This window comes from Homo sapiens, chromosome 3, assembly GCF_000001405.40.
Source record: "Homo sapiens chromosome 3, GRCh38.p14 Primary Assembly".
In the NCBI taxonomy this organism is placed as follows: Eukaryota; Metazoa; Chordata; class Mammalia; order Primates; family Hominidae; genus Homo; species Homo sapiens.
Genome location: NC_000003.12, coordinates 151,524,590 through 151,549,054, shown reverse-complemented (window position 1 = coordinate 151,549,054; position 24,465 = coordinate 151,524,590). Strand labels below are relative to the sequence as shown.

The following is a 24,465-nucleotide window of genomic DNA, read 5'->3' as shown; positions in this document are numbered from 1 at the left end:
TATGCAAGTAGAAGAAAACTTTAAAAAAGAAAGAAAAGTGAACAAAAATGATTACTAACATCCTAGTATAGACAAGAAGAAAAATTGCATACATTTTAGAAAAGAGAAAAAGAACAAAATGCCCTTAATAAAAGTGTTGAAAATTAAAACTATGACAAGAATTAGAAAAATAATGTTTGGAAATTTTTTCAGAAATTAAAATTTAAAAAGAGCTGGAAAATAAAAGAAAAAAAGAAGAAGAAATGAGAAAATTAGAAGATTATTAGTCCAAGAGGTCTGGCCTCTAAATAAGAGAAACTCTAAAAATAAAAATTAAATTAAAAAAAGGAAAAACTATCACTGCCAAAACAATTTGATAAAATTTCTAAGAACTGAAAGATATGAATATTTTCACATTGAAAGGGTTGACTTACAATGAGTGAAATAGCCATCATAAACTTTCAGGACACTGAAAAACAAAAATGAAATCCTAAGAGCTTTCAAAAATGTTTTTAAAAGTCACATACTGTTCCAGTCATTAGTGTCATGCAACAAATTCTCCCAACACTTAGTGGGTTAAAACAACAATTTTATTATGCTCTTGGGTTTTGTGGGTCAGTAATTTAGGCAGAGCGCAGTAGGAATGGCTTATCTCTTCTCCACAATGTCTGTGACTTCAGCTGGGAAGACAACTAGAGATGACGGACAGATGGCTTAAATCATCTGAAGTCTCATTCACTCATATATTTAGCATTTGATGCTGGCTGTCAGCTTGAACCTTAGCTGGGGCTGTTGACAGAGGAACCCCATGAGGCCTCTCTATTTGCCATGGGTTTCCTTAGAGCATAATGTTTAGGGTAGTCAGACTTCTTATATTGCCACTTAGGGTTCCGCAAACAAGTGTCCCCATGAACAAGGCAAAAGGCATACTGCTTCTTTTAAACTAGCCTCGAAATTACCCCAACATCACTTCCACTATAATGTGTTGGATATAAGCAAATTACTGGCCATGCAGATTCAAAGGGAAGGTACACACATCTCAATGGGAGAGTAGAAAGGTCACATTGTAGAAAAGCATGTGAGACAAAGATATTTTGCAACCATTTTTGGAAATACAATCTTCCACACCACAAACATATAAAACTAGAATGACTTCAGGTTGCTCAAACAGTAAAACTGGAAGTTGTATAGTGAGGGATTGATGCCATTAAAATATGAAGGAAAATACATTTAAACCTAGAATTCCATTTGCAAGCTAACTGTAAATAACATGCCGGCGGATTCTTTACATTTTCAGACATGCAATATCAGGAGCATTTGTCTCCCATGCACTCTTTCTCATAAAGTTACTGATGGATTTGCTCCAAGATGAAGACTTAAACCAAGAAAGAAGAATATCTGGGCTCTAGAAACCAGAGTACTCCATACAACCCAGAGGCAAAGAACATCTCTGAAAGAGGAAAACCAGAGTCCAATGACAAATATGCACCAGGTACAGTAAGCCTCCAGTCCAGGCTCTAGGAGAAGCTGTTTCACAAACATGATATTAATAGAATACATGATGTCTATACTGAGAGAAGACCTAGACAATTGGCAACAGTTTAGTTTTGAATAACGTGTGTGTGTGTGTGTGTGTGTGTGTGTGTATATATATATTTATATAATATATGGAAAACTAAGGAGAGGAGTCAAAAGTAAGATTAATTACTAACTTCAGGAAGAACATAATTGTGCAAGAACATAATCACTGGCTATGGCATTGCTCAGCTGTGAAAAGCATTTACATACTGATGAACATATTTAACAAAATGAATATTGTTCTAATGAAAACTATTAAAAAGGATGGAGTGGATCTTGGAAGCTTGCATGTGTGTGGGACGGTGTGGTTGTGAAAGGGAACTAAATCCTTATTTTTCATGGTAGAAAGTTAATAGAAAATGTCTAAAACTGAAAAATCCTGAAGAAGCAATATAAACATATTATTTAGAAATATGGAGAAAAGAGGCCGGGCACGGTGGTTCACGCCTGTAATCCCAGCACTTTGGGAGGCCAAGGGGGGGGTGGATCGCCGGAGGTCAGAAGTTCAAGACCAGCCTGGTCCACATGGTGAAACCCCATCTCTACTAATTATATAAAAATTAGCCGGGCGTGGTGGCAGTTGCCTGTAATACCAGCTACTCAGGAGGCTGAGGCAGGATAATTGCTTGAACCCGGGAGGCGGAGGTTGCAATGAGCCGAGATTGCACCATTGCGCTTCAGCCTGGGCAACAAGAGCAAAAACTTCGTCTCAAAAAAAAGAAATATGGAGAAAAGAATTAATTTAAAAAATGTAAAGAGGCTATACTTATAGAATGGGGAAGAGGGACACAGAGGACTTTGACTTTAATCATCAGGCTTGTACAAGCAATTTATGTGTATATAATGTTGCCAAAAATAAACATACGCCAGGCATGATGGCTTACTTTGGGAAGCCAAGGAGGGATTTGAGCTCAGGAGTTTGAGACCAGGCTGGGCGACATACTGAGGCTTTATCTCGACTAAATATTAAAAAAAAAAAAAAATTAGCCAGGCATGGTTGTGGACACCTGTACTCCCAGCTACCCAGGAGGCTGAGGTGGGAGGATCGCTTGAGCCCTGAGGGTCAAGGCTATGGTGAGCCATAATTACACCACTGCACTGAAGCCAAGGCAACAGAGCAAAACCCTGTCTCAAAAAGTAAATAAACATAAATAGTAAATAACAAGCATAGAAATTTATCAGTTGCTCTTGTTGGTGGGATGGTGGTGGTATCTTGGTGGTGTAGATAATGCTGTATTTTGGTAGGAGAGGGTTTTCATAATAGTCTCGCTGCATGCTAATATCACCCCCTGAGCCTTGCCAACAGAGATTTTTGCTTAATGGTCCAGAGTGAGACCTGGTCATAGATCTGTTTTTGATGCTCCCAGGTTGAGAACCACTGCACTAAAGCTGGGTTCAGCAATATCTTTCTGTACAGAGCTAGGTAACAATTATGCTAGGCTTTTTTTTTTTTTTGTGGCCACATATGATCTCTAATCTAATGTTTTGTTTTGATTTGTTTTGTTTTACAACCCTTTAAAAATGTAAAAACCAGGCTAAGCTCATCTGCTGCGAGCAACATTTGGATAGGGAGCAGTAATTTGTTAACCCCTGCACTACAGATTCCTAACCAGTTACCCTTCAGCACCCTTTTGCTTCTTCCTGATTCATGACAATTTCAATTAACAAATATTCACCACGTTTATTTTCTTTCCATCCAAAAATGTTATCAAATTGACAAATGATTTTTAAAGTACAAATTCAAGGACAAAGCTGAGAAAGGTGAGGAGATGACAGCAGATGAGGAATGCCAATAAATAATTGGAAAATATAAATAAATAACAAACAGATGGAAGGCCGGTTCTTGACAAAGCAAAGTGCAGGAATGCTAAAGTGCAGACACCTGCAGAGGGATTGCAGCTTGAATTGAGCCAATTTTCCCTATGGAAACTTAGAGAACTTCAGGACTTGATGGTCAAAAGTACCACAGAAATTGGGCTAAACCATAAGACCAAAAACAATGGAAGTGATAGAAAGCCTATTATTTAGCACTCAGAGCAAAGGCCTTGCTTCATCCTCCAAAGCTGCAAGGCAGAGGATTATAGAATTCTTCACTGTGAAACTGAGCAGCTCAAGAGAAAAATCTCTTAGTATCTCCTACATGAGAAGAGCACCTTGCTGCCTTATTACCCTACAGTGAATTCTGCCAAACTGCACTCAGTGATTCCATTTGCTTCTCAGGGCCTCCTTTTAACTACAAGTGGGGAGCCAAGCATTGCCAGGTGTTTGAGAAAAGTCTCTAATGTGAAAACAGGCCCACAATAATAGAAAATCAAGCCCAGAAAAAAAGAGAATATGCAAGAAGCATAAAAAAACTTTCAAAATTATGTAACTAATATGCTCAAAAAGATTAAAGGATATATTACAGTTGTGAAACAATAACAAAAGGCTATTAAGAAGGATCCAAGTAAGAATTTTAAAACACTTAAATGTAGAATAACTAAAATAGAAAATTCAACAGATATGAAAGATAAAGTTGTGAAAATGTCTCAGAAACCAAGAGACAGATGGAAAATTTAAAAATTAAGAAAGTTAGAGAATCAGTATAGAAGACCCAATAGCTAAACTAATAACAGTTCCAGAGTAGAAAACAGAGAAAACAAAGGAGAGAAGAATCATCATAGAAGTAAAATAAGACAATTTCCAAAACCAAAACACAAAAATCTTCAGATTGAAGGGCCTATCGCATGCATAATACAATAAATAAAACACAGCAAAGGACATCACAATGCATTTCAAACCCCAGGGCATTGAAAAAAAAAAAAAAGAGAGAAAATCTTAAATACTTTTAGAAAGAGAAAACAGGTCATTGAACAGAGGATTTGGAAATCAAATAGCATTAGACTTTCAGCAGCAAAACTAAAACAGGGTGGGTAGGTGGGTAGGGAATGAAATATAGAGCAGTGTCTTTAAAATTCTCAGTGAAAATGCTCTCCAATTTAGAATTTTTAAGCCATCAAACTGTCATTCAAACATGGAAGCTGGATATATATTTTCAAACATTCCATGCATTCTTTCTTGAAAAGCTTTAGAGGTTGCTATACCAAAAGAAAGATGTGAGGTAGAGAAAACAGGAAATCCTATGGAGGTGAGAGCAGAGAAAACCCCAGAAAGACTGCTGTGTTGCAGCAGCCTGGAGAGCCACCAGGAGCAATTAGAGCCAGTCAGAGGGCCCCTGCAGAATGTTCTCCTAGGCAAACCCAGTCCTGATGTGTTTGAGTACACTGGAAATATTAAAAGACATTTGACAGGCCAGGTGTGGTGGCTCATGCCTGTAATCCCAGCACTTTGGGAGGCTGAGGCAGGTGGATCACTTGAGGTCAGGAGTTCAAGACCAGCCTGGGCAATATGGGGAAACCCCTTCTCTACTAAAAATACAAAATTAGCCAGGCGTGGTGGCATGTGCCTGTAGTCCCAGCTACTTGGGAGGCTGAGGCAGGAGAATTGCTTGAACCTGGGAGGCAGAGGTTGCAGTGAGCCAAGATTGTGCCACTGCACTCCAGCCTGGGTGACAGAGTAAAACTCCGTCTCAATAAAAGAAAAGACATTTGACAGATCTGTTTGAGCACTTAGGGGTAGGGAGTTGGGGGAAATTATCAATAGCTACATAGAAAACTAAACAGATACTTATTGTAAGGTACATGGATATGCTTTGATCAAGGAATAGGCCAAGGCAGATATCCAGGCCTGCATGACTCAGCAAGTTTGGCAGGCAGACGCACACCTCCACTTGTTATATAACCTATTTGTGTAAGTTCATACTTGGCTCTGAGCCACTATTGTCTGTAAAAGGTGTAATTGCCCTGCTGACACTGTGCACAGGGGCTTGGCTCAGCTCGACTGGTCATGGCTTTTGTTCAGGCATTGGTACCCAGAGAAAGAGAGAGAGCAAGCAAAGCTGTTCATCTTGCAGGTGAACAGAGGGGAGGCAGGACACAGCTTGGCATGGCACGGCATGGCACAACACTGCTCGTGCTCTTGCCCAGAGAGAGAAAGAGTTAAGCTGCTGACCCTGAAGGCAAGGGAGAGCCAGCTGTGCAGCTGCAGGTGTGGGGGTAGTAGAAGCCACAGAGCTGGAGCAGACATCCAAGATAAAGGTGGACAGTGTAAGAGAGCTAATGTGGGTAAGCTGCTGATGAAAAAGCTGCTGAATAAAACTGCATTTCACCTGCCTATGGCCCCCTGAGTGATCTTTCTGCCCATCGACCCACTCCTCCCCTTGGACGGCAGCATAGGCTGGACCCAGACCCCTGAACCTAATACTTATTTACTGCAGGAAAACCCAAATGATAATCATGGACTTAGTCTCCTTGACTACGGAGAGAATTCTTACAAATATTCATAATGTAAAATTTAGCCTTAATTAAACCAAAATTCTGATATAATTATATTGAAAAATTGACTAGGGGAATTAGTAGGAGAGATTTTATAAATGAGCTGAATCATTTTTGAACAAAAATATCAATAGACGATGTCTAGAATTGGTGAAGATAAAGCACATTTTTAAAGATGAGCACATTGTTTTGAAATACAGTGGCAATGTCAGAAAAAAAGCTAAAATTGTGTGGCCTCTAGACAGCAGGTGAGGAAAGTACAAAAATACCTTTAATAAAAACATGTGATTTTAACAAGACAAAAGTATATAAAACAAATTACAATCATCAACAGTAACTTTAAGCATTCCCTCCTTGAAAGGACGTAATCTAACAGGATTACAGTATAGTTAGTTTTAAGAACCCAAATCAGAAACTATAAGAAGTTTTCCTTATGTAAATTCTTACTATAAACATTTCTTACTATAAACATTTCTTACTAAAAACATTTATTTTGTTTTTATAGTAAGTATTCAAGTTATACTGTTAGTGGAAAAACAAGGAAAGAAATGTATCCACAGCAGAATATAAATTTTAAGAAAAATACACATGCATATATATTTATACAAAGGGTATCCCTGCAAGGATGTAGCTGATGTTGAGAAGAGTCGATGCCTGTGAGGAAGAGGACTAGAATACAGAGGTCAGAAATGAGAGGAAGACTTGCTTATCCCTATATACTTCTGTGTATTGTCTTACTTTAAAATATCCTTATGAATGAATTCTACTTATGTTAAAGTAAGGGAGATTTTCGTTATAGTGAGAAAATACAGTAAAAAATTACTATATGTGTCTTATATTATGTCCAATATTATATATAAAGAAAATGAGTATTTATATGCATTTATGGTTCTGACATAAGATATACAGGAAGAAAAGCATTTGCAGCCTGGATATATAAAATAATGGATTTATTTTGAAATGTTTTGAGTTTAGTGCCTGTGTGATAGCCAGAACCTGGAGTACCTGAAAGTCATTTGGGCTGGAGATAAAGCAAGTGCTGTAAAAGCCACTGAATAAATAAGATCACCTGGGAAATTTTTAAGCGTGAATGAGAGGAGAAGGGAGTTGGGTGTGAAAGCAACAGTAATTTAAGGAACAACTCAGGAAAAGAGATTAAAATGAAGCCAAAGAATGTGTTAAGAACATTGGTCATGCTACCTGCCGCATACACAATCCTTTCTAAGGAAAGTTGCTTTTCTTAAGGGAGAAAGTGGCCATGCTTAGCTTGCTTTGACCCCCATTTTCTCCACAGCTGATTGGTCTAGCTTGGGCCCCAGACATACATCTATCTATCCACTCATCCACACATATGTATGTATATGTATTTATGTATTGTACTTCTGTATGTCCTCGAGAGAAGGAGGAAAAGATGATGAATTTCATAAGACATGAGGAGGTATTAGTAAGATGAAATAATAAAAAATAGAGATACTACAAAGAAAAAACTAAAACATATGCAGAGAGAGAGAAGCCAATTTATCAAAAAGGACAATATAAAATTAGAAATATCAGCCTCCTAAAAGAATAGTGTCAACTTTAAAATACAACCATGAGCAAACCTCTAAAAGTACTTTGTTTACTCAGTAATGTGTTTAAATCTCATCTATATGACTATAAGAAAACTGAATTTATGGCCTAGCAAATTAAACAAAGAACTTTAGTGTGCTAGCTAATCTCACTGACATCAAATTCTAAAATATGATTTTTTTGACATGACTCAGCTCTGTATCATAACAAATTTTACTGTTTTGTTAGCCTCCCATATAATGTAAAGATATACTGTCTTGAAGTCATTCTACTTCAACAGACACATCTGACTTTCTGCCATGAAGTTTGTAAAATATGTTTTAGATAACTGTGGACAGTCAAAAACATGACTGATGTAGGAGAAACTGATAGTTTATGAATCTTACTGCTAATCACATCAGATGTAATGAACTTAATTAAACTACTGAGGTTTTGAGGGTATTTTAAGGTTTGTTTTTTTAACCTTAAACGGAATCATTTGTTCCATACACACTATACAAACTTCAGCATGATTTCCACTATCTGGAACTGAACTCCCTCTGATGTCTCCCCTCTGCAGTTGTTCCAATAATTTCTTCTGTAACCTTCACACTTAAAATGTAGATGGTTGTTCAGGGTTCAACAGTGAAAAACTGAGGAGATCCTCAGAGAGCAACAAAATTACTAGTGGATCTCCACTGTGGCTCTGAAAGTTCCTTTTGCCATGCAAGGTATCATATTCACAGATTGCAGGGATTGGTTCGTGTGCATTTTCGTGGGGGACTAGGCTTGTGAGGATGTAAAGCAACTGGAATTTTTGTACACTGCTGGTGGGTGTATAAACTAGTAAACACTTTGGAAAACTGCTAACATCCACAAAAGCCAAACAAATACATACCCTCTGACCCAGCAATACCACTGTAGGCATAGAGTCAACAGAAGTACATAGATATATGTGCACCAGAGGTACGAACAAGAATGTTCACATCACTACTATTTATAATAGCTCTAAACTGTCAACTTCTCACAGGCTATCAAAAGTAGAATGGATAACTACACTGTGGTTTAGTTACACACTGCAGTACAACACACTAATGAGAATAAATGATCTGCAAATATACACAATAATATGGATACTCCTCAAAAAAATAATGTTAAGCAAAAGAAGCTGGACACCAGAGTACATACTGTATTACTCCATTCATAAAAAGTACAATGCAGGCAAAATTAATGTATTATCTTAGAAATTCAGGTAAACTTACCCTTGGGTGAGGGTGACCAGAAGAGAATAATATAGATCAGAAGAAATGGTAATGTTCTGTTTTTCGATCTAGTGTTGGCTACACATGTTCAATTTTTGAAAATTAACTGAGCTGTACACTTATGATATATACGCTTTTCTGTGTTTATTTCATACTTCTATTAAAAAATTTAAATTATGTTATTTGGTTGTGATGGGTGAGATTTCTTTATGACAATTAATTGAGGGATAGGCTTCTGATTTGTTCATCGATTTAGAAAGTCTTCTTTCACTTCCCACCACAAAATGACACCACTGACGCCCAGCTAAGGGGATGAAAAACTTATTTAGGTTACTTAGGCTCGGACTAAGGCCAGTTCTGTCAGAAGCCTCTCACTACAAATTCCCTCCCTGCACCTCTTGTTTCTTAGATGAATGGATGGATGAACAGACAGACGAATGACAGACACACACAGAGATGATAGATAGACAGATAGATAGATGATAGATACAGATAGATGATAGATAGATAGATAGATAGATAGATAGATAGATAGATAGATAGATAGATGCTGTTGAAATAATGCTGGGTGAAAGGATTACAGCCTAAGAATAATCATCAAGGATCACTCTTCACTATCTATTGAGAGAACAACCAGCTGGGTGTTGGAGGTGGGGGTGGTCGGATTACAGATTCATATTGATACAATGAGTTTCAAGTGACTATGACACATTTTTTTCTGCATCTCCATTTCTTAACTGTAAAAAGAGGGAAAATATGTACTCTGCTTGCCATCCTGAGTTTGGGAAGAAGATGAATATGTAAACATATTTTAAGCCAAGATGTGTTAAAAGACCCTTAAGTAGAAACAATGCTCCACTCCTCTGGTTTTTCTAAGCACCAGTTTCTTGTTCCGCCCTTAACACTCAAACACTCAGGTGGAGTGAATTCGCCTATTTGATGAATTTAAAAGAAGGAAGAGGGCAGTCATAGCTAGCTCCTCTCTTCCCCTTCCTCTTAAGAGCGGCTATGCGAAAGTTCACGTCTGCATCTGGTCTTCTCTCGGGTTACAGAGCAAGCCTCCACGTGGGAAGCAGAGCGTTTGTCTGGACTGCTGTGACTTGTGACTCTTCTGTAGTCATGTGTAACATGTGGACTCCGCTGGAAAAAAGCAAGGATTAAAGTAAGTCCCTAATTCTAGGGATCTGTATTTGCAGGTCTAGCCTTACCAAAATCTAGGCCCCTTTCCAACAGCAATGAAGCTGATATTTTGATCGCCATCTGCCAGAAATTTTTGTTCCTCTTCCAGTGTTTTTAAAAACACAGGCAAGAAAAAAAGCTGGCTCTTTATCGTGCCTCTTCAAATGCCCACAGAAACTGAAGTATTATTGTTATTGGGATGTGTTTTCGTTTGCTGGAGTAACAGTTCTCACAATGCATGTTTTGTTCTAAAACCTTTTCTTTTTCCCTGAGCCCTTGCTGCCTGTGAAACAATTATAATGGTTTTAAGGGTCCAAGATTTAACTTACATTCTTTATGTGGGGCTTGTAAATTCAACTCAACATTGTTCTGTGACTACTACATGCCAGACACTGCGCTAGACTTGGGGGTTGAAAGAGTAATGTTCTTAAAGCAATATTGTGTCCTGGACATTTTAAATTAAATTTCTTTATGGAAATTCTGCTCGGGGTCTGATGTCAGCAGTGTTAATGGAAAAACAGCATCAAAGTCTTGGTGATTGTGTTTGTTTAAATATTGGAACTAGATACCCTTTTTCTCACTTTTATATTCCAATGAATAATCCGAAGACTTACATTTCTCATTCTACTTAGGCTGTGGTCTTACGTTTCTTCTACTATTACTTGGCTGTGAAGTGAGGTATTTAACCATTTAAACCATTATAATGTCCTTATTTAAGTGAGAGAGAATTAAAAACCAAATGAAACAAGCACAGACCCACAAAAAATCCAGGTCCTTCTCGTTATAAAAAGGGCAACAGCCTTTTTAAGCTTTTAGTTAATAATTAAAGAAATATATTAAGCAATAATGAGTGGGCAATAATGAACTTCTATGGGCTTTGTGTTTCTGGTGTTATGGTGGTCCCAGGAGTGACCCATCACAATTCTAAGAAACCTCTAAGAATATCAAATATGTTTATCAGTGAAGTCGCAGAATGAGACTTTGACTCTGCATCTGACAATTAGTAGGTCCTTCTGAAGACCCTTAACTAAACGTGAAGTTTGGCAACTATTAAGAATCCCACAATTTTGATCTCTGCCAAGTCGTAGACCCAGGAAAAGTGAGGAGTGAGTAATAGTCAGAGGAATCTGAAACTGAGGAAGCAGGAGGGCTCATGAGAGGGATCCTAGCTGCTCTGAGGATTTCAAATCTTTTGGCCTAGCTAAACTACATCTTGGGGAACAGAAAGAACGTATGTCTATAATTACTGAACCACTGTGGGTAATTACTGGGAAACCATGGAAAACAGGAGAGGTTCCAGGAGACTGAAGGATGGAAAATGTTGCTCCAATTTTTAGAAGGGAAAGAAGGTAGGTTTATTGAATTACAGATCAGAGAGCTTGACAAAAATCCTAGAAGAGATTATTATTTTTTTTAAGAGTCCATGAACACTTAGAAGAGGAAACAGTGATGACTAAAGTTAGAATGCCTTTGTCAATAACAGGCCATTACAGACTAACTTCACTGCTTGGTTTTTGACAGTGTGGCTAAACTGGTGTATGAAGAAGGCATAGTATAAACCCTATTTCGGTTAATTAGTCAAGTGCTTCATCATAGCATCATGTACATGATGGGGAAAAATGAACTAGATGGTAGAACAATTGGCTTTGAATGATTTAATGATGTTGTCTCCATCTAAAGAGTGCAGACTTGCCTAGTGACAGGCTATAGTTCTTTCTTCTCGGCCTCAACCTCATCAATATTTCTCTATAATTTTGACAAAAATCAATAGCTTGTTATTCTCTTCAGACTTCAGGGGAAAGTCACAAATCTTTGAGCATCTGTCTACCTTTGAGAGAAAGTAACCCAAGCTGATTCTTTACTACCTATGTTGCTATGACTCAGTGCTATACGTATTGAGTAAATCCTACACTCCTGCTCTAGCCACAACTGATTGGCCAAAGTAACAATGCAAGATCAAAGCAAATACTAATGTGCCCAACTTTAGGGAGGCAAAAAAATTGCCTTTGAGATGGCTTACCCAAAAATTTTTCCCTCACAGTCCCCCCATATTAAATCCTTGCAAATCATCCCAAGCAAATATTGTTATTGGAAAGAATAAATGCTCGAATAAAGAACAAACTTAAATTCTGTAGTTTGGGGATCTCACTCTTATTGGGCCTGCTGTTTTAAAAGCAACAGGACCTAGAATAATAGTTCTTTCAATACCCATCAGCCAAGGTAATTTGCCTGTGTCTTTCTGATATTAAAAGGACTGGTTTATCACCTGCATATCAAATTTAAGAATCAAATTATGCTAGAAGTAGTTCACATAGTTAATGTGATGTATTACAGAATTAAGACTTCAAAATATTGGCCCATATTAAATTAGTGGGCCAAATTGAACAAAATGAACTTTAAGGGGAAAAGTAAAGAGAAAACAAAATCTTTTTTAGCCTCTAGTCAAATCTGGTACTTTAGATTCGGCATTTTTTTGGTGAACATTTTATTGTTAACCTTGGTTAACAGTAACTGAGGTTAAGCTTTACAGTAGAATCAGGACAGATTTACAATGCTAATGAAACTTAAGCTTCAGGATCCCTTCCTTGCATGGACCCTTTTCAAAGCTGTCATGTAGGGCCACAGTGATAAGGTTGCCAAATAAAATACAGGATGCTCAATTAAGTTTGAATTTCAGATAAACAATGAATAACATTTTCACTTAAGTAGGTCCCAAATAACAAATGCAACCTACATTTTTATTTGCTAAATAAACTCTACATGGGAAAGAATCATCAACCTCAGACTGAGGGTCACCCTCTCTGCCCTCGTGGTGGTCTTAGATCCGTAGGTGGAGTTGAGAGGCTGCCAGTCCTACCTTCACATCCACGCAGCCCAAGTGACAACCTTGTCCCAGGGGACCTCTTGAAGTATCCAGACTTTGACTCCAAGGAGAAAGGCACAAATGAGATTTTTTCCCTGCTTCCTGCTCAGAAGTCAATGCTAGACTTCATGGCATTTCACCACCACCTCCCATCCCCTTAATCCCCCTAGGACTAGTAGCCATGGTGGGACAGGACACAGTGGCAGCTAGGACCTAGCCAACCTAGAAATTGCAGCTTCCAAAGAATATGAAGACTGAGATCAAGGGGCTGCAAACATATGAAAGTCTGCCCCTGAAAGTAGTGCCATCTCAGCAAGAAGCTGCAGCTGGAGCTCCATGTACAGGATTACAAATAATAAACAGTGAAGTTGAAAGAAACTGCGAAGCCATCAATTTCAAAAATGAGTTTTGCTCTATCATTCTAGAGGAAAGACTTGATTATTTTTCTATTCTCTTTATTGAAAATGTAAGACTTGTGACAGAATGAAGCAACCAAAGAAAATGCAGCCCAAAAAAGTTAATTTAGAGGCATGTAAGCAAATAATTAGAATTGAAAGATTTCCTGACTTGCACTATTTGTAATACCTACCATACTTTATATATATGTAATTTATTGTAAATTCTAATTCTAAATATGAACTTTTATATCTTATTTTAAATAAAATAATTTTAACTTTTATTTTAGATTCAGAGCATACATGTGCAGGTTTGTTACATGAGTATATATAGTGATGGTGGGGTTTAGGGTACGATTGATTCCTTCACCCAGGTAGTGAGAATAGTACCGAATAGTTAGATTTTCAACCTTTTCCCCTTCTAGTAGTCCCAGTGTCTATTTTTGCCATCTTCATGTCCATGAGTATCCAGTGTTTAGTTCCCACTTATAAGTGAGAAGTATATTATTTGGTTTTCTGTTTCTGCATTAATTCGCCTAGGATAATAGCCTCCAGCTGCAGCCATGTTGCTGCAAAGTATGTGATTTTGTTATTTTTTTTCTTTTATTTGGGATTTTTTATTACAGCCAAATATCCTCAAAAATAAGTTTCTGTGGTGGCCCACATTATAATACCTCTACTAGGAATAAAATAAGGGATGATAACTAGATTTAATAGTTATTGTTTTTGCACTGTGTCAGATGTTGTTACCATTTGAGTTACATTTTCTCATTTAGTTCTCTCAAAAACCTTTAGAGATAGTATCATCTTTAATTTTATAGATGAGAAAACTGAAATGTAGATAGCTTTTTTTTTTAATTGCCAAAGATCACACCCATAGAAACTGATAAAGCTGGTATTGGATCCCTTATCAGTCTGACTCCAAAGTTCGTGTATGCTTGTAACTACTGTGACAGAACAGTTGGATGGAACTACATTTTTCATGCATCCAGTGAAGGTGATTCTGTAGTTTCCTCTAGATTCCTATAACCCTGCCCAAACCTTCATACACACACACACACACACACACACACACATACACTTTAAATTCTGGGGTACATGGGCAGAACGTGCAGGTTTGTTACATAGGTACACACATGCCGTGGTGGCTTGCTGTACCCATTGACCCGTCATCTACATTGGGAATCTCTCCTAATGCTACCCCTCCCCCAGCTCCCCACCCCATGACAGGCCCCAGTGTGTGATGACCCCCCTCCCCACCCATGTGTTCTCATTGTTCAACTCCCACTTACGAGTGAGAACAGAAACTTGTTTGGTTTTTTGTTCTTGTGTTAGTTTGCTGAGAATGATGGTTTCCAGCTTCATCCATGTCCCGGAAAAGGACATGAACTCATCATTTTTTATGGCTGCATAGTATTCCATGGTGTATATGTGCTACATTTTCTTTATCTGGTCTATCATTGATGGGCATTTGGGTTGGTTCCAAGTCTTTGCTATTGTGAACAGTGCAGCAATAAACATACATGTGCATGTGTCTTTATAGAAGAATGATTTATAATCCTTTGGGTATATACCCAGTAATGGGATTGCTGGGTCAAATGGTATTTCTAGTTCCAGGTCCTTGAGGAATCACCACACTGTCTTCCACAATGGTTGAACTAATTTACACTCCCACCAACAGTGTAAAAGTGTTTCTATTTCTCCACTTCTCCAGCATCTGTTGTTTCCTGACTTTTTAATGATTGCCATTCTAACTGATGTGAGATGTTATCTCATTGTGGTTTTGACTTGCATTTCTCTAATGACCAGTGATGATGAGATTTTTTTCATATGTTTGTTGACTGCATAAATGTCTTCTTTTGAGAAGTGTCTGTTCATATTATTTACTCACTTTTTGAAAGAGTTGTTGTTGTTGTTTTCTTGTAAATTTGTTTAAGTTCTTTGTAGATTCTGGATATTAGCCCTTTGTCAGATGGATAGATTGCAAAAATCTTCTCCCATTCTGTAGGTCGCCTGTTCACTCTGATGATAGCTTCTTTTGCTGTGAAGTAGCTTATTAGTTTAATTAGATCCCATTTGTCAATTTTGGCTTTTGTTGCCATTGCTTTTGGTGTTTTAGTCATGAAGTCCTTGCCCATGCCTATGTCCTGAATGGTATTGCCTAAGTTTTCTTCTAGGGCTTTTTTGGTTTTAGGTCTTACGTGTAAGTCTTTAATCTATCTTGAGTTAATTTTTGTATAAGGTGTAAGGAAGGGGTCCAGTTTCAGCTTTCTGCGTATGGCTAGACAGTTTTCCCAACACCATTTATGAAATAGGGAATCCTTTCCCCATTGCTTGTTTTTATCAGGTTTGTCAAAGATCAGATGGTTGTAGATGTGTGGCGTTATTTCTGAGGCCTCTGTTGTGTTCCATTGGTCTATATATCTGTTTTGGTACCAGTACCATGCTGTTTTGGTTACTGTAGCCTTGTAGCATAGTTTGAAGTCAGAGTGATGCCTCCAGCTTTCTTTTAGCTTAGATTGTCTTGGCTATGTGGGCTCTTTTTTTGGTTCCATATGAAATTTAAAGTAGTTTTTTCCAATTCTGTGAAGAAACTCAGTGGTAGCTTGATGGGGATAGCACTGAATCTATAAATTACTTTGGCCTGTATGGCCATTTTCACGATTTTGATTCTTCCTATCCATGAGCATGGAATGTTTTCCCATTTGTTTGTGTTCTCTCTTATTTCCTTGAGCAGTGGTTGGCAGTTCTTGAAGAGGTCCTTCACATCCCTTGTAAGTTTTATTCCTAGGTATTTTATTCTCTTAGTAGCAGTTGTGAATGGGAGTTCATTTATGATTTGGCTCTGTTTGTCTGCTATTGGTGTATAGGAATGCTTATGATTTTTGCACATTGATTTTTGTATCCTGAGACTTTTCTTATCAGCTTAAGGAGATTTTGGACTGAGATGATGGGGTTTTCTAAATATACAATCATGTCATCTGCAAATAGAGACAATTTGACTTCCTCTTTTCCTAATTGAATACCCTTTATTTCTTCCTCTTGCCAATTGCCCTGACCAGAACTTTCAATACTATGTTGAATAGGAGTGTGAGAGAGGGCATCCTTGCCTTGTGCCGGTTTTCAAAGGGAATGCTTCCAGTTTTTGCCCATTCAGTATGATATTGGCTGTTGGTTTGTCATAAATAGCTCTTATTTTGAGATACATTCCATCAATGCCTAGTTTACTGAGAGTTTTTAGCATGAAGCGCTGTTGAGTGTTGTCGAAGGCCTTTTCTGCATCTATTGAGATAATCATGTGGTTTTTATCATTGGTTCTGCTTATGCGATGGATTATGTTTATTAATTTGGGTATGTTGAACTAGCCTTGCATCCCAGGGGTGAAGCTGACTTAATCTTGGTGGATAAGCTTTTTGATGTACTGCTGGATTCGGTTTGCCAGTATTTTATTGAGGATTTTTACATCAATCTTCATCAGGGATACTGGCCTGAAATTTTCTTTTTTTGTTGTGTGTCTGCCAGGTTTTGGTATCAGGATGATGCTGGCCTCATAAAATGAATTAGGATTCCCTCCTTTTCTATGGTTAGGAACAATTTCAGAAGGAATGGTACCAGCTCCTCTTGGTTACTCTGGTAGAATTCGGCTGTGAATCCGTCTGGCCTTGGACTTTTTTGTGGTGTTTGTAGGCTATTAATTACTGCCTCAATTTCAGAACTTGTTATTGGTCTGTTCCAGGATTTGACTTCTTCCTGGTTTAGTCTTGGGAGGGTGTATGTGTCCAGGAATTTGTTCTTTTCTTCTAGATTTTCTGGTTTCTTTGCATAGAGGTGTTTATAGTATTCTTTGATGGTAGTTTGTATTTCTGTGGGATCAGTGGTGATATCCCCTTTATCATTTTTTATTGCATTTATTTGATTCTTCTCTCTTGTCTTCATTAGTCTTGCTAGCGGTCTATTTTGTTGATCTTTTAAAAAAAACCAGCTCCTGGGTTCATTGATATTTTGAAGGGTTTTTCAGGTCTCTATCTCCTTCAGTTCTGCTCTGATCTTAGTTATTTCTTGTCTTCTGCTAGCTTTTGAATTTGTTTGGTCTTGCTTGTCTAGTTCTTTTCATTGTGATGTTAGGGTGTCAATTTTAGAACTTTCCTGCTTTCTCTTGTGGACATTTAGTGCCATAAATTTCTCTCTACACGCTGCTTTAGATGTGTCCCAGAGTTTCTGGTATGTTGTGTCTTTGTTCTCATTGGTTTCAAAAAACTTACTTATTTCTGTCTTCATTTCATTATTTACCAGTAGTCATTCAGGAACAGGTTGTTCAGTTCCCATGTAGTTGTGCCATTTTGAGTGAGTTTCTTAATCCTGAGTTCTAATTTGATCACACTGTGGTCTGAGAGACTGTTTGTTATGATTTCCATTTTTTTCATTTGCTGAGGAGTGTTTTACTTCCAATTATGTGTTCAGTTTTAGAATAAGGGTGATGTGGTGCTGAGAAGAATGTATGTTCTGTTCATTTTGGGTGGAGAGTTCTGTAGATGTCTATTAGGTCTGCTTGGTCCAGAGGTGAGTTCAAGTCCTGGATATCCTTGTTAACTTTCTGTCTCATTGATCTAATATTGACAGTGGGGTGTTAAAGTCTCCCACTGTTATTGTGTGGGAGTCTAAGTCTCTTTTTAGGTCTCTCAGAACTTGCTTTATGAATCTGGGTGCTCCTGTATTTGATGCATATATATTTAGGATAGTTAGTTCTTCTTGCTGGATTGATCCCTTTACCATTATGTAATGCCCTTCTTTGTCTCTTTCAATTTTTATTGTTTTAAAGTCTGTTTTATCAGATACTAGGATTGCAACCCCTGCCTTTTTTTGCTTCCCATTTGCTTGGTAAATATTCTTCCATTTCTTTATTTTGAGCCTATGTGTGTCTTTGCATGTGAGATGGGTTTCCTGAATACAGCATGCAGACCAGTCTGTGTCTTTTAACTGGGGCATTTAGCCCATTTACATTTAAGATTAATATTGTTATATGTGAATTGGATCCCGTCATTATGATGCTAGCTGGTTATTTTGCCCGTTAGTTGATGCCGTTTCTTCATAGCATCGATGGTCTTTACAATTTGGTATGTTTTTGAAGTGGCTAGTACTGGTTGTTCCTTTCCATGTTGAGTGCTTCCCTCAGGAGCTCTTGTAAGGCAGGCCTGGTGGGGACAAAATCTCTCAGCATTTGCTTGTCTGTAAAGGACTTTATTTCTCCTTCGCTTATGAAGCTTAGTTTGGTTGGATATGAAATTCTGGGTTGAAATTCTCTTCTTTAAGAACGTTGAATATTGCCCCCTGCCCCCCACTCTCTTCTGGCTTGTAGGGTTTCTGCCAAGAGATTCACTGTTAGTCGCTTCCCTTTGTGGGTAACCCGATATTTCTCTCTGGCTGCCCTTAACATTTTTTCCTTCATTTCAACCTTGGTGAATCTGATGATTATGTGTCTTGGGGTTGCTCTTCTTGAGGACTATCTTTGTGGTGTTCTCTGTATTTCCTGAATTTGAATGTGGCCTACCTTGCTAGGTTGGGGAAGTTCTCCTGGATAATATCCTGAAGAATGAAACTAAGTTGGGAAACACTCTCCCCGTCTCTTTTAGGTGACTCATCCTATCAAACATAGATTTGGTCTTTTCACATAGTCCCATATTTTTTGGAGGCTTTGTTCATTTCTTTTCACTCTTTTTTCTCTAATCTTGACGTCTTGCTTTATTTCATTGCATTGATCTTCAATCTCTGATAGCCTTTCTTCTGCTTGATCAATTCGGCTATTGATACTTGTGTATGCTTCATGAAGTTCTCGTGCTGTGTTTTTCAGCTCCATCAGGTCATTTATGTTCTTCTCTAAACTGATTATTCTAGTTAGCAATTCGTCTAACCTTTTTTCAAGGTTCTTAGCTTCCTTGAGTTGGGTTAGGACATGTTCCTTTAACTCGGAGGAGTTTGTTATTACCCACCTTCTGAAGCCTACTTCTGTCAATTCGTCAAACTCATCCTGCATCCAGTTTTGTTCCTTTGCTGGCGAAAAGTTGTAATCCTTTGAAGGAGAAGAGGTGTTCTAGTTTTTGGAGTTTTCAGCCTTTTTGCGCTGGTTTCTCCTCATCTTCGTGGAATTATCTACCTTTGGTCTTTGATGTTGGTAACCTTTGGATGTGGTCTCTGAGTGGACGTCCTTTTTATTGATGTTGATACTATTCCTTTCTGTTTGTTAGTTTTCCTTCTAACAGTCAGACCCCTCTGCTGTAGGTCTGCTGTAGTTTGCTAGAGGTCCACTCCAGACCCTGTTTGCCTAGGTATCACCGGCAGAGGCTGCAGAACAGCAAAGATTGCTGCCTGTTCCTTCCTCTGGAAGCTTCATCCCAGAGGGGCACCTGCCTGATGCTAGCCAGAGCTCTCCTGTATGAGGTATCTGTCAGCCCCTAATGGGAGGTGTCTCCCAGTCAAGATATACAGGGGTCAGCAACCCACTTGAGGAGACAGTCTGACCCTTAGCAGAGCTTAAACGCTGTGCTGGGAGATCCGCTGCTCTCCTCAGAGCCATCAGGCAGGGACGTTTACATCTGCTGAAGCTGCGCCCACAGCTGCCCCTTCCCCCAGGGGCTCTGTCCCAGGGAGATGGGAGTTTTATCTACAAGTCCCTGAATGGGGGTGCTACCTTTCTTTTTTCAGAGATGCCCTGCCCAGAGAGGAGGAATCTAGAGAGGCAGTCTGGCCACAGCAGCCTTACTGAACTGTGATGGGGTCTGCCCAGTTTGAACCTCCCGGCAGCTTTGTTTACACTGTGAGGGTAAAATTGCCTACCCAAGCCTCAGCATTGGTGGACTCCCCTCCCCCACCAAGCTCAAGCATCCCAGGTTGACCTCAGACTGCTGTGCTGGTATGAGAATTTCACGCCGGTGGATCTTAGCTTGCTGGGCTCCATGGGGGTGGGACCCACCAAGCCAGACCACTTGGCTCCCTGGCTTCAGCCCCCCTTTCCAGGGGAGTGAACAGTTCTGTCTCACTAGCATTCCAGGTACACTGGGGTATGAAAAAAAAAAAAAAAAACTCCTGCAGCTAGCTCAGTGTCTGCCCAAACAGCCACTTAGTTTTTTGCTTAAACCCATGGCCCTGGTGGCATAGGTACCAGAGGGAATCTCCTGGTCTGCCAGTTGCAAAGACCATGGGAAAAGCATATATCTGGGTACCATTCCTCCCGGTACAGTCTCTCATGGCTTCCCTTGGCTAGGGGAGGGAAATCCCCCAACCCTTTGTACGTTCCAGGTGAGGTAACACCCCACCCTGCTTTGGTTTGCCCTCCATGGGCTGCACCCACTGTCCAACCATTCCCAGTGAGATGAACAGGGTACCTCAGTTGGAAATGCAGAAATCACCTGCCTTCTGCATCAGTCTTGCTGGGAGCTACAGACCGGAGCTGTTCCTATTCTGCCATCATGCCAGCAAGTCCCCCATACCTAATTTTTATTCATAGCATTGTATGCTTTCTCTTTTAAAAAAACCTTATAAATTATATGAGCTTTAGGCCCCTCGAAATCTGGATCAGTCCCTGAATGCAATGACCTAATAGAATAAAATTATGAATGACAACAAAAAGAATGAATAACAGATAAAAGTGGAGGAAACCAACATTTCTGAGAGTCTATTATGTTTCAAGTTCACTGCTAATAATAATAGCTGATATTTATTAAGAGCTTTCTTATGCCAGGTCCTATCTAAAGAGCTTAACCTACTGTATCATTGCATTTAATCAGCATGATACTAGGAAAAAAAGCACTGTGAGTATTATCTTCATGGTGTAAAGAAATGAGGCTAAAAACATAAAATATTTTGCTCAGGTCATGCAGCTATTAATTGATGAAGTTAAAATCTGAACCCAGGTTTCAATTTTTTTCTTCAAGACAGGATCTTGCTCTGTCACCCAGGATGGAGTATAGTGACATGAACACAGCTCACTGTAGCCTTGACCTCCCAAGCTGAAGTGATCCTGCCACCTCAGTCTGCTAGGTAGCTGGGACTACAGGCATGTACCACCATGCCCAGCTAATTAAAAAAAAAAAAATTGTAGAGACAGGGTGTCACCATGTTGCCCAGGCTGGTCTCAAACTCCTGGGCTCAAATAATCCTTTCACCTCAGCCTTCCAAAGTGCTGGGATTATAGGCATGAGCCACTACACCTGGCCCAGATTTGGATTTTTAAAACAATGCTTTTTCTCCTGCTTATTCCTTTTCTTTTCTTTTTTTACACTAGAAATTATCTTCTGGGCAATTAATACTGGGACTTAAATATCCATTTGTTCCTTTTTCAGTCAACTAGCATTTTTATTGGGCGGGTAACATGTAAGGTAATACAAAAGTTATGTAAGTCAAAAAGTATTTATGGAGACATTTGAATATCTGCCTTATCACTGCTATATAAAAAATCCATTATCGACTCTTCAGAAATGTATTGGGCCAAGAAGAATTCTGACATTTTATTGTTCATTAGGAATAGATGACCCCACAGACATGTTTTGATGAGGGAATTGCTTGAGAATGGAACCAGCATGAAGCATAAATGAGCCAAAAAAAAGAGTGAATCCAGCTCCCGCTGGTGTGGTATGGGCCTATTAGGTTAGGTGAGCCAAAAATCTTCCTATTTTCCAGAGCCAGGCTGGGCTGAGTTTTCTGTCATTTAAAGGCAAAATAATTTTAACAGGTATAATATTCTAAAGGAAAAAAGTGACTTCTAAAGTCAGTAGTGGTTTTTGTAGCCAATGGAATAGGGAAAAAAATTTTTTTCTACAAATTCTACCAAAAGTTAGGAAGACCAGATCTGTACAGGGTTTAGGTTAGGTCAACAAAAAGCAAATTCAGCAACTGAACTCTGCTCAGTTTCCACCCACATACGCTGGAGCTACATGAACTTCTCCTTCACATATGTACATACCAAGATCAAGCTGGTGGCCACAGTGCAGGCAGTTTTGGCCTCTCCAGTGTGCACACATTCTGCCCAAGCACCTGATACAGAGGGTGGAAAGAAAGGCTTCCGGCAGGGAACTAGGTAAAGATGAAGATGAGGCCAAAAACATTAAGGATAACCAGGAAAATTAGTTTGAAAGAAAGGGAGAAGACTGGAGTAAATCTGAAAGCAAATGCATCAGAAAAAGAAAAAAATGAGATCAATGAGAAAAACATCAAGGAAAGAAATTTAAATTTTTTTAATATTAGAGGAACTAGAAGAACCTAAATAACTTATGCAGAAGAAAGTTAAGAGAAACCATGAATCAGAAAATTGCTGGAAGAGGCTAAATTTAAATTGACAATAGAAACTTCGTGGTACTAAAAGTCTATGGAGTAGATACTCTGAACTCAAAGAGACTTCCCAGTTTAAAAAGTTATTAAAAAATAAAATGATGCAACATTAAACATTTTTTCATTATACCAAGTCTTTTAAAACATCAGTTTGAGATTATGACATTAACGCTGAAATATACTAAAGATTACCAATTTATGGACAAAGTTATACAACTGAAAAAAAAAACAATCAAGAAAAATGACAAGAAGAAAGGTCTGGCCTCTGGAGGGAAGGTCAAAGGCTTCCAGCCTTAGACAATCCAATAGACTGTGGAGCTCTGACAAGAAAAATAACAAGACTGGAGACATTTCCTCTTCTAAACCTTCACTCTGTTTCCCAATCTCTTCAACAGGTAGCTCAAACTTTTCCCTTTCAGTTCTGCCAAATGTTAGCCAGAAGTATCATGGTTATGTGCTAGATAAATAGTTCACTCCTGACACTAAGATGCTCAGTGATGAGGGGCCTTGGAGCAACAAGAAGTTAAAATTGGTGTGGCAGGAAGAATTCTGAGATGACCTTTGAGATTCCCGCTCCCCGGTGTACATGTTCTGTAAAATCCCCTCCCCTTGAGTGTGGGTGAGAATTGACTATGATGAACTTCACTCCTGTAATTAGGTTACTTCATATGGAAAAAAAAGTGAAGGGATTTTTGCAGATGTAATGAAGTCTCAAATCAATGTACTTCGAGTTAATCGGAAGGGAGATTATCCCTGGTGGGCCTGACCAATTTGGCAAACCCCTTAAAAGAGATTGGGCTCTTGTTGAAGGAAGGGATTCAAAGGGTAAGGGTATGGAGTGGGGCATGTGGTAAGGATGCTTAGGGTAGTCTCCAGTCAATAGTGGGCAAGAAAACTGAGATTTCTGTTCTACAGTCACAAGGAACTGAATTCTACCAACAACGTGAATAATCTTGGAAGCAGTTCTTTCCTTATTCAAACCCTCAGGTAAGAATGCAGCTGGCTGGCACCGTGATCTCAACACATCTGAGACCTTAATAGAGTACAGACTACTGGCCCACAGGAAATGTGAGATAATAGACTTGTGTTCTTTTAACCAGCAAACTTGGTGGCAATTTCTTACACAGCAATAGAAATTAATACAGTTAGGAAACTTGGATGCTACTCTATCTTAAACAAAAATCTTAAATAGTATTTTTTGTGGCTACCTGAATTCAGAGTGGCAACTAAACTGGAATTAAAATGTACATGTTATGCATATTCTGTAATATAGCCTTAATTGTACTTCCGTAAACTACTCGAATTTGTCAGAAAAAGGTGTTTGCAATAAAATCTAAATAGTTTTGTGTTAAAGATGATTATAATGAGCCAGGCAGGGTGGCTGGTGCCTGTAATCCCAGTGACTCAGAAGGCTGAGGTGGAAGGATCACTTGAGCCCTAGAGCTCAAGGCTACAGAGAGCTATAATTGTGCCACTTCACTTCAGCTGGGGTGACAGAGCAAGGCTCTCTTTAAAAAAAAAAAAAAAAAAAAAAAAAAAAAAAAAAAAAAAAAAGGTGTAATGCATTTTTAAAATTGTTACAAAGATTATCTATTTCATATTGACAATATTATAGCTGGAAAAGACATTTGATACTAAAAAGGAAAGAAGGAATGATGGAAGAGAAGGAAGAAGGAAAGAAGGAAAAAATCAAAATCCACTCAGTTGAATCTGATAAAGTAGCTTTCCATTATTACATGTCTCAAATCAACCTTTGGAATATCTATTTATGTATTTTTAACTTTTTCGGTTCAAGGGTACATGTGAAGGTTTGTTACACAGGTAAAGTCGTGTCACAGGGGTGTGTTGTACAAATCATCACCCAGGTATTAAGCCCAGTACCCAATAGTTATCTTCTCTGTTCCTCTCCCTCCTTCCACCCTCCACACTCAAGTAGACCACAGTGTCTGTTGTTTCCTTCTTTGGGT

At 38.7% G+C, this 24,465-nt stretch overlaps 1 protein-coding gene across 6 annotated transcripts in view; it reads left to right on the top strand.

Moving 5' to 3' along the window:
* IGSF10 (immunoglobulin superfamily member 10) overlaps positions 1–24,465 on the top strand; it is a 187,494-nt gene that overhangs the window by 70,871 nt on the left and 92,158 nt on the right. For 5 of the 6 annotated variants that reach the window (NM_001385061.1, NM_001385060.1, NM_001385062.1 and 2 more), the window contains exon 1: positions 9,739–9,902. The gene's annotated coding sequence lies outside the window, so the exon portion shown is untranslated. Of the gene's footprint in view, positions 1–9,738; positions 9,903–24,465 lie in introns of those variants that run through there. The other variant, XM_011512709.3, reaches the window with a different exon arrangement.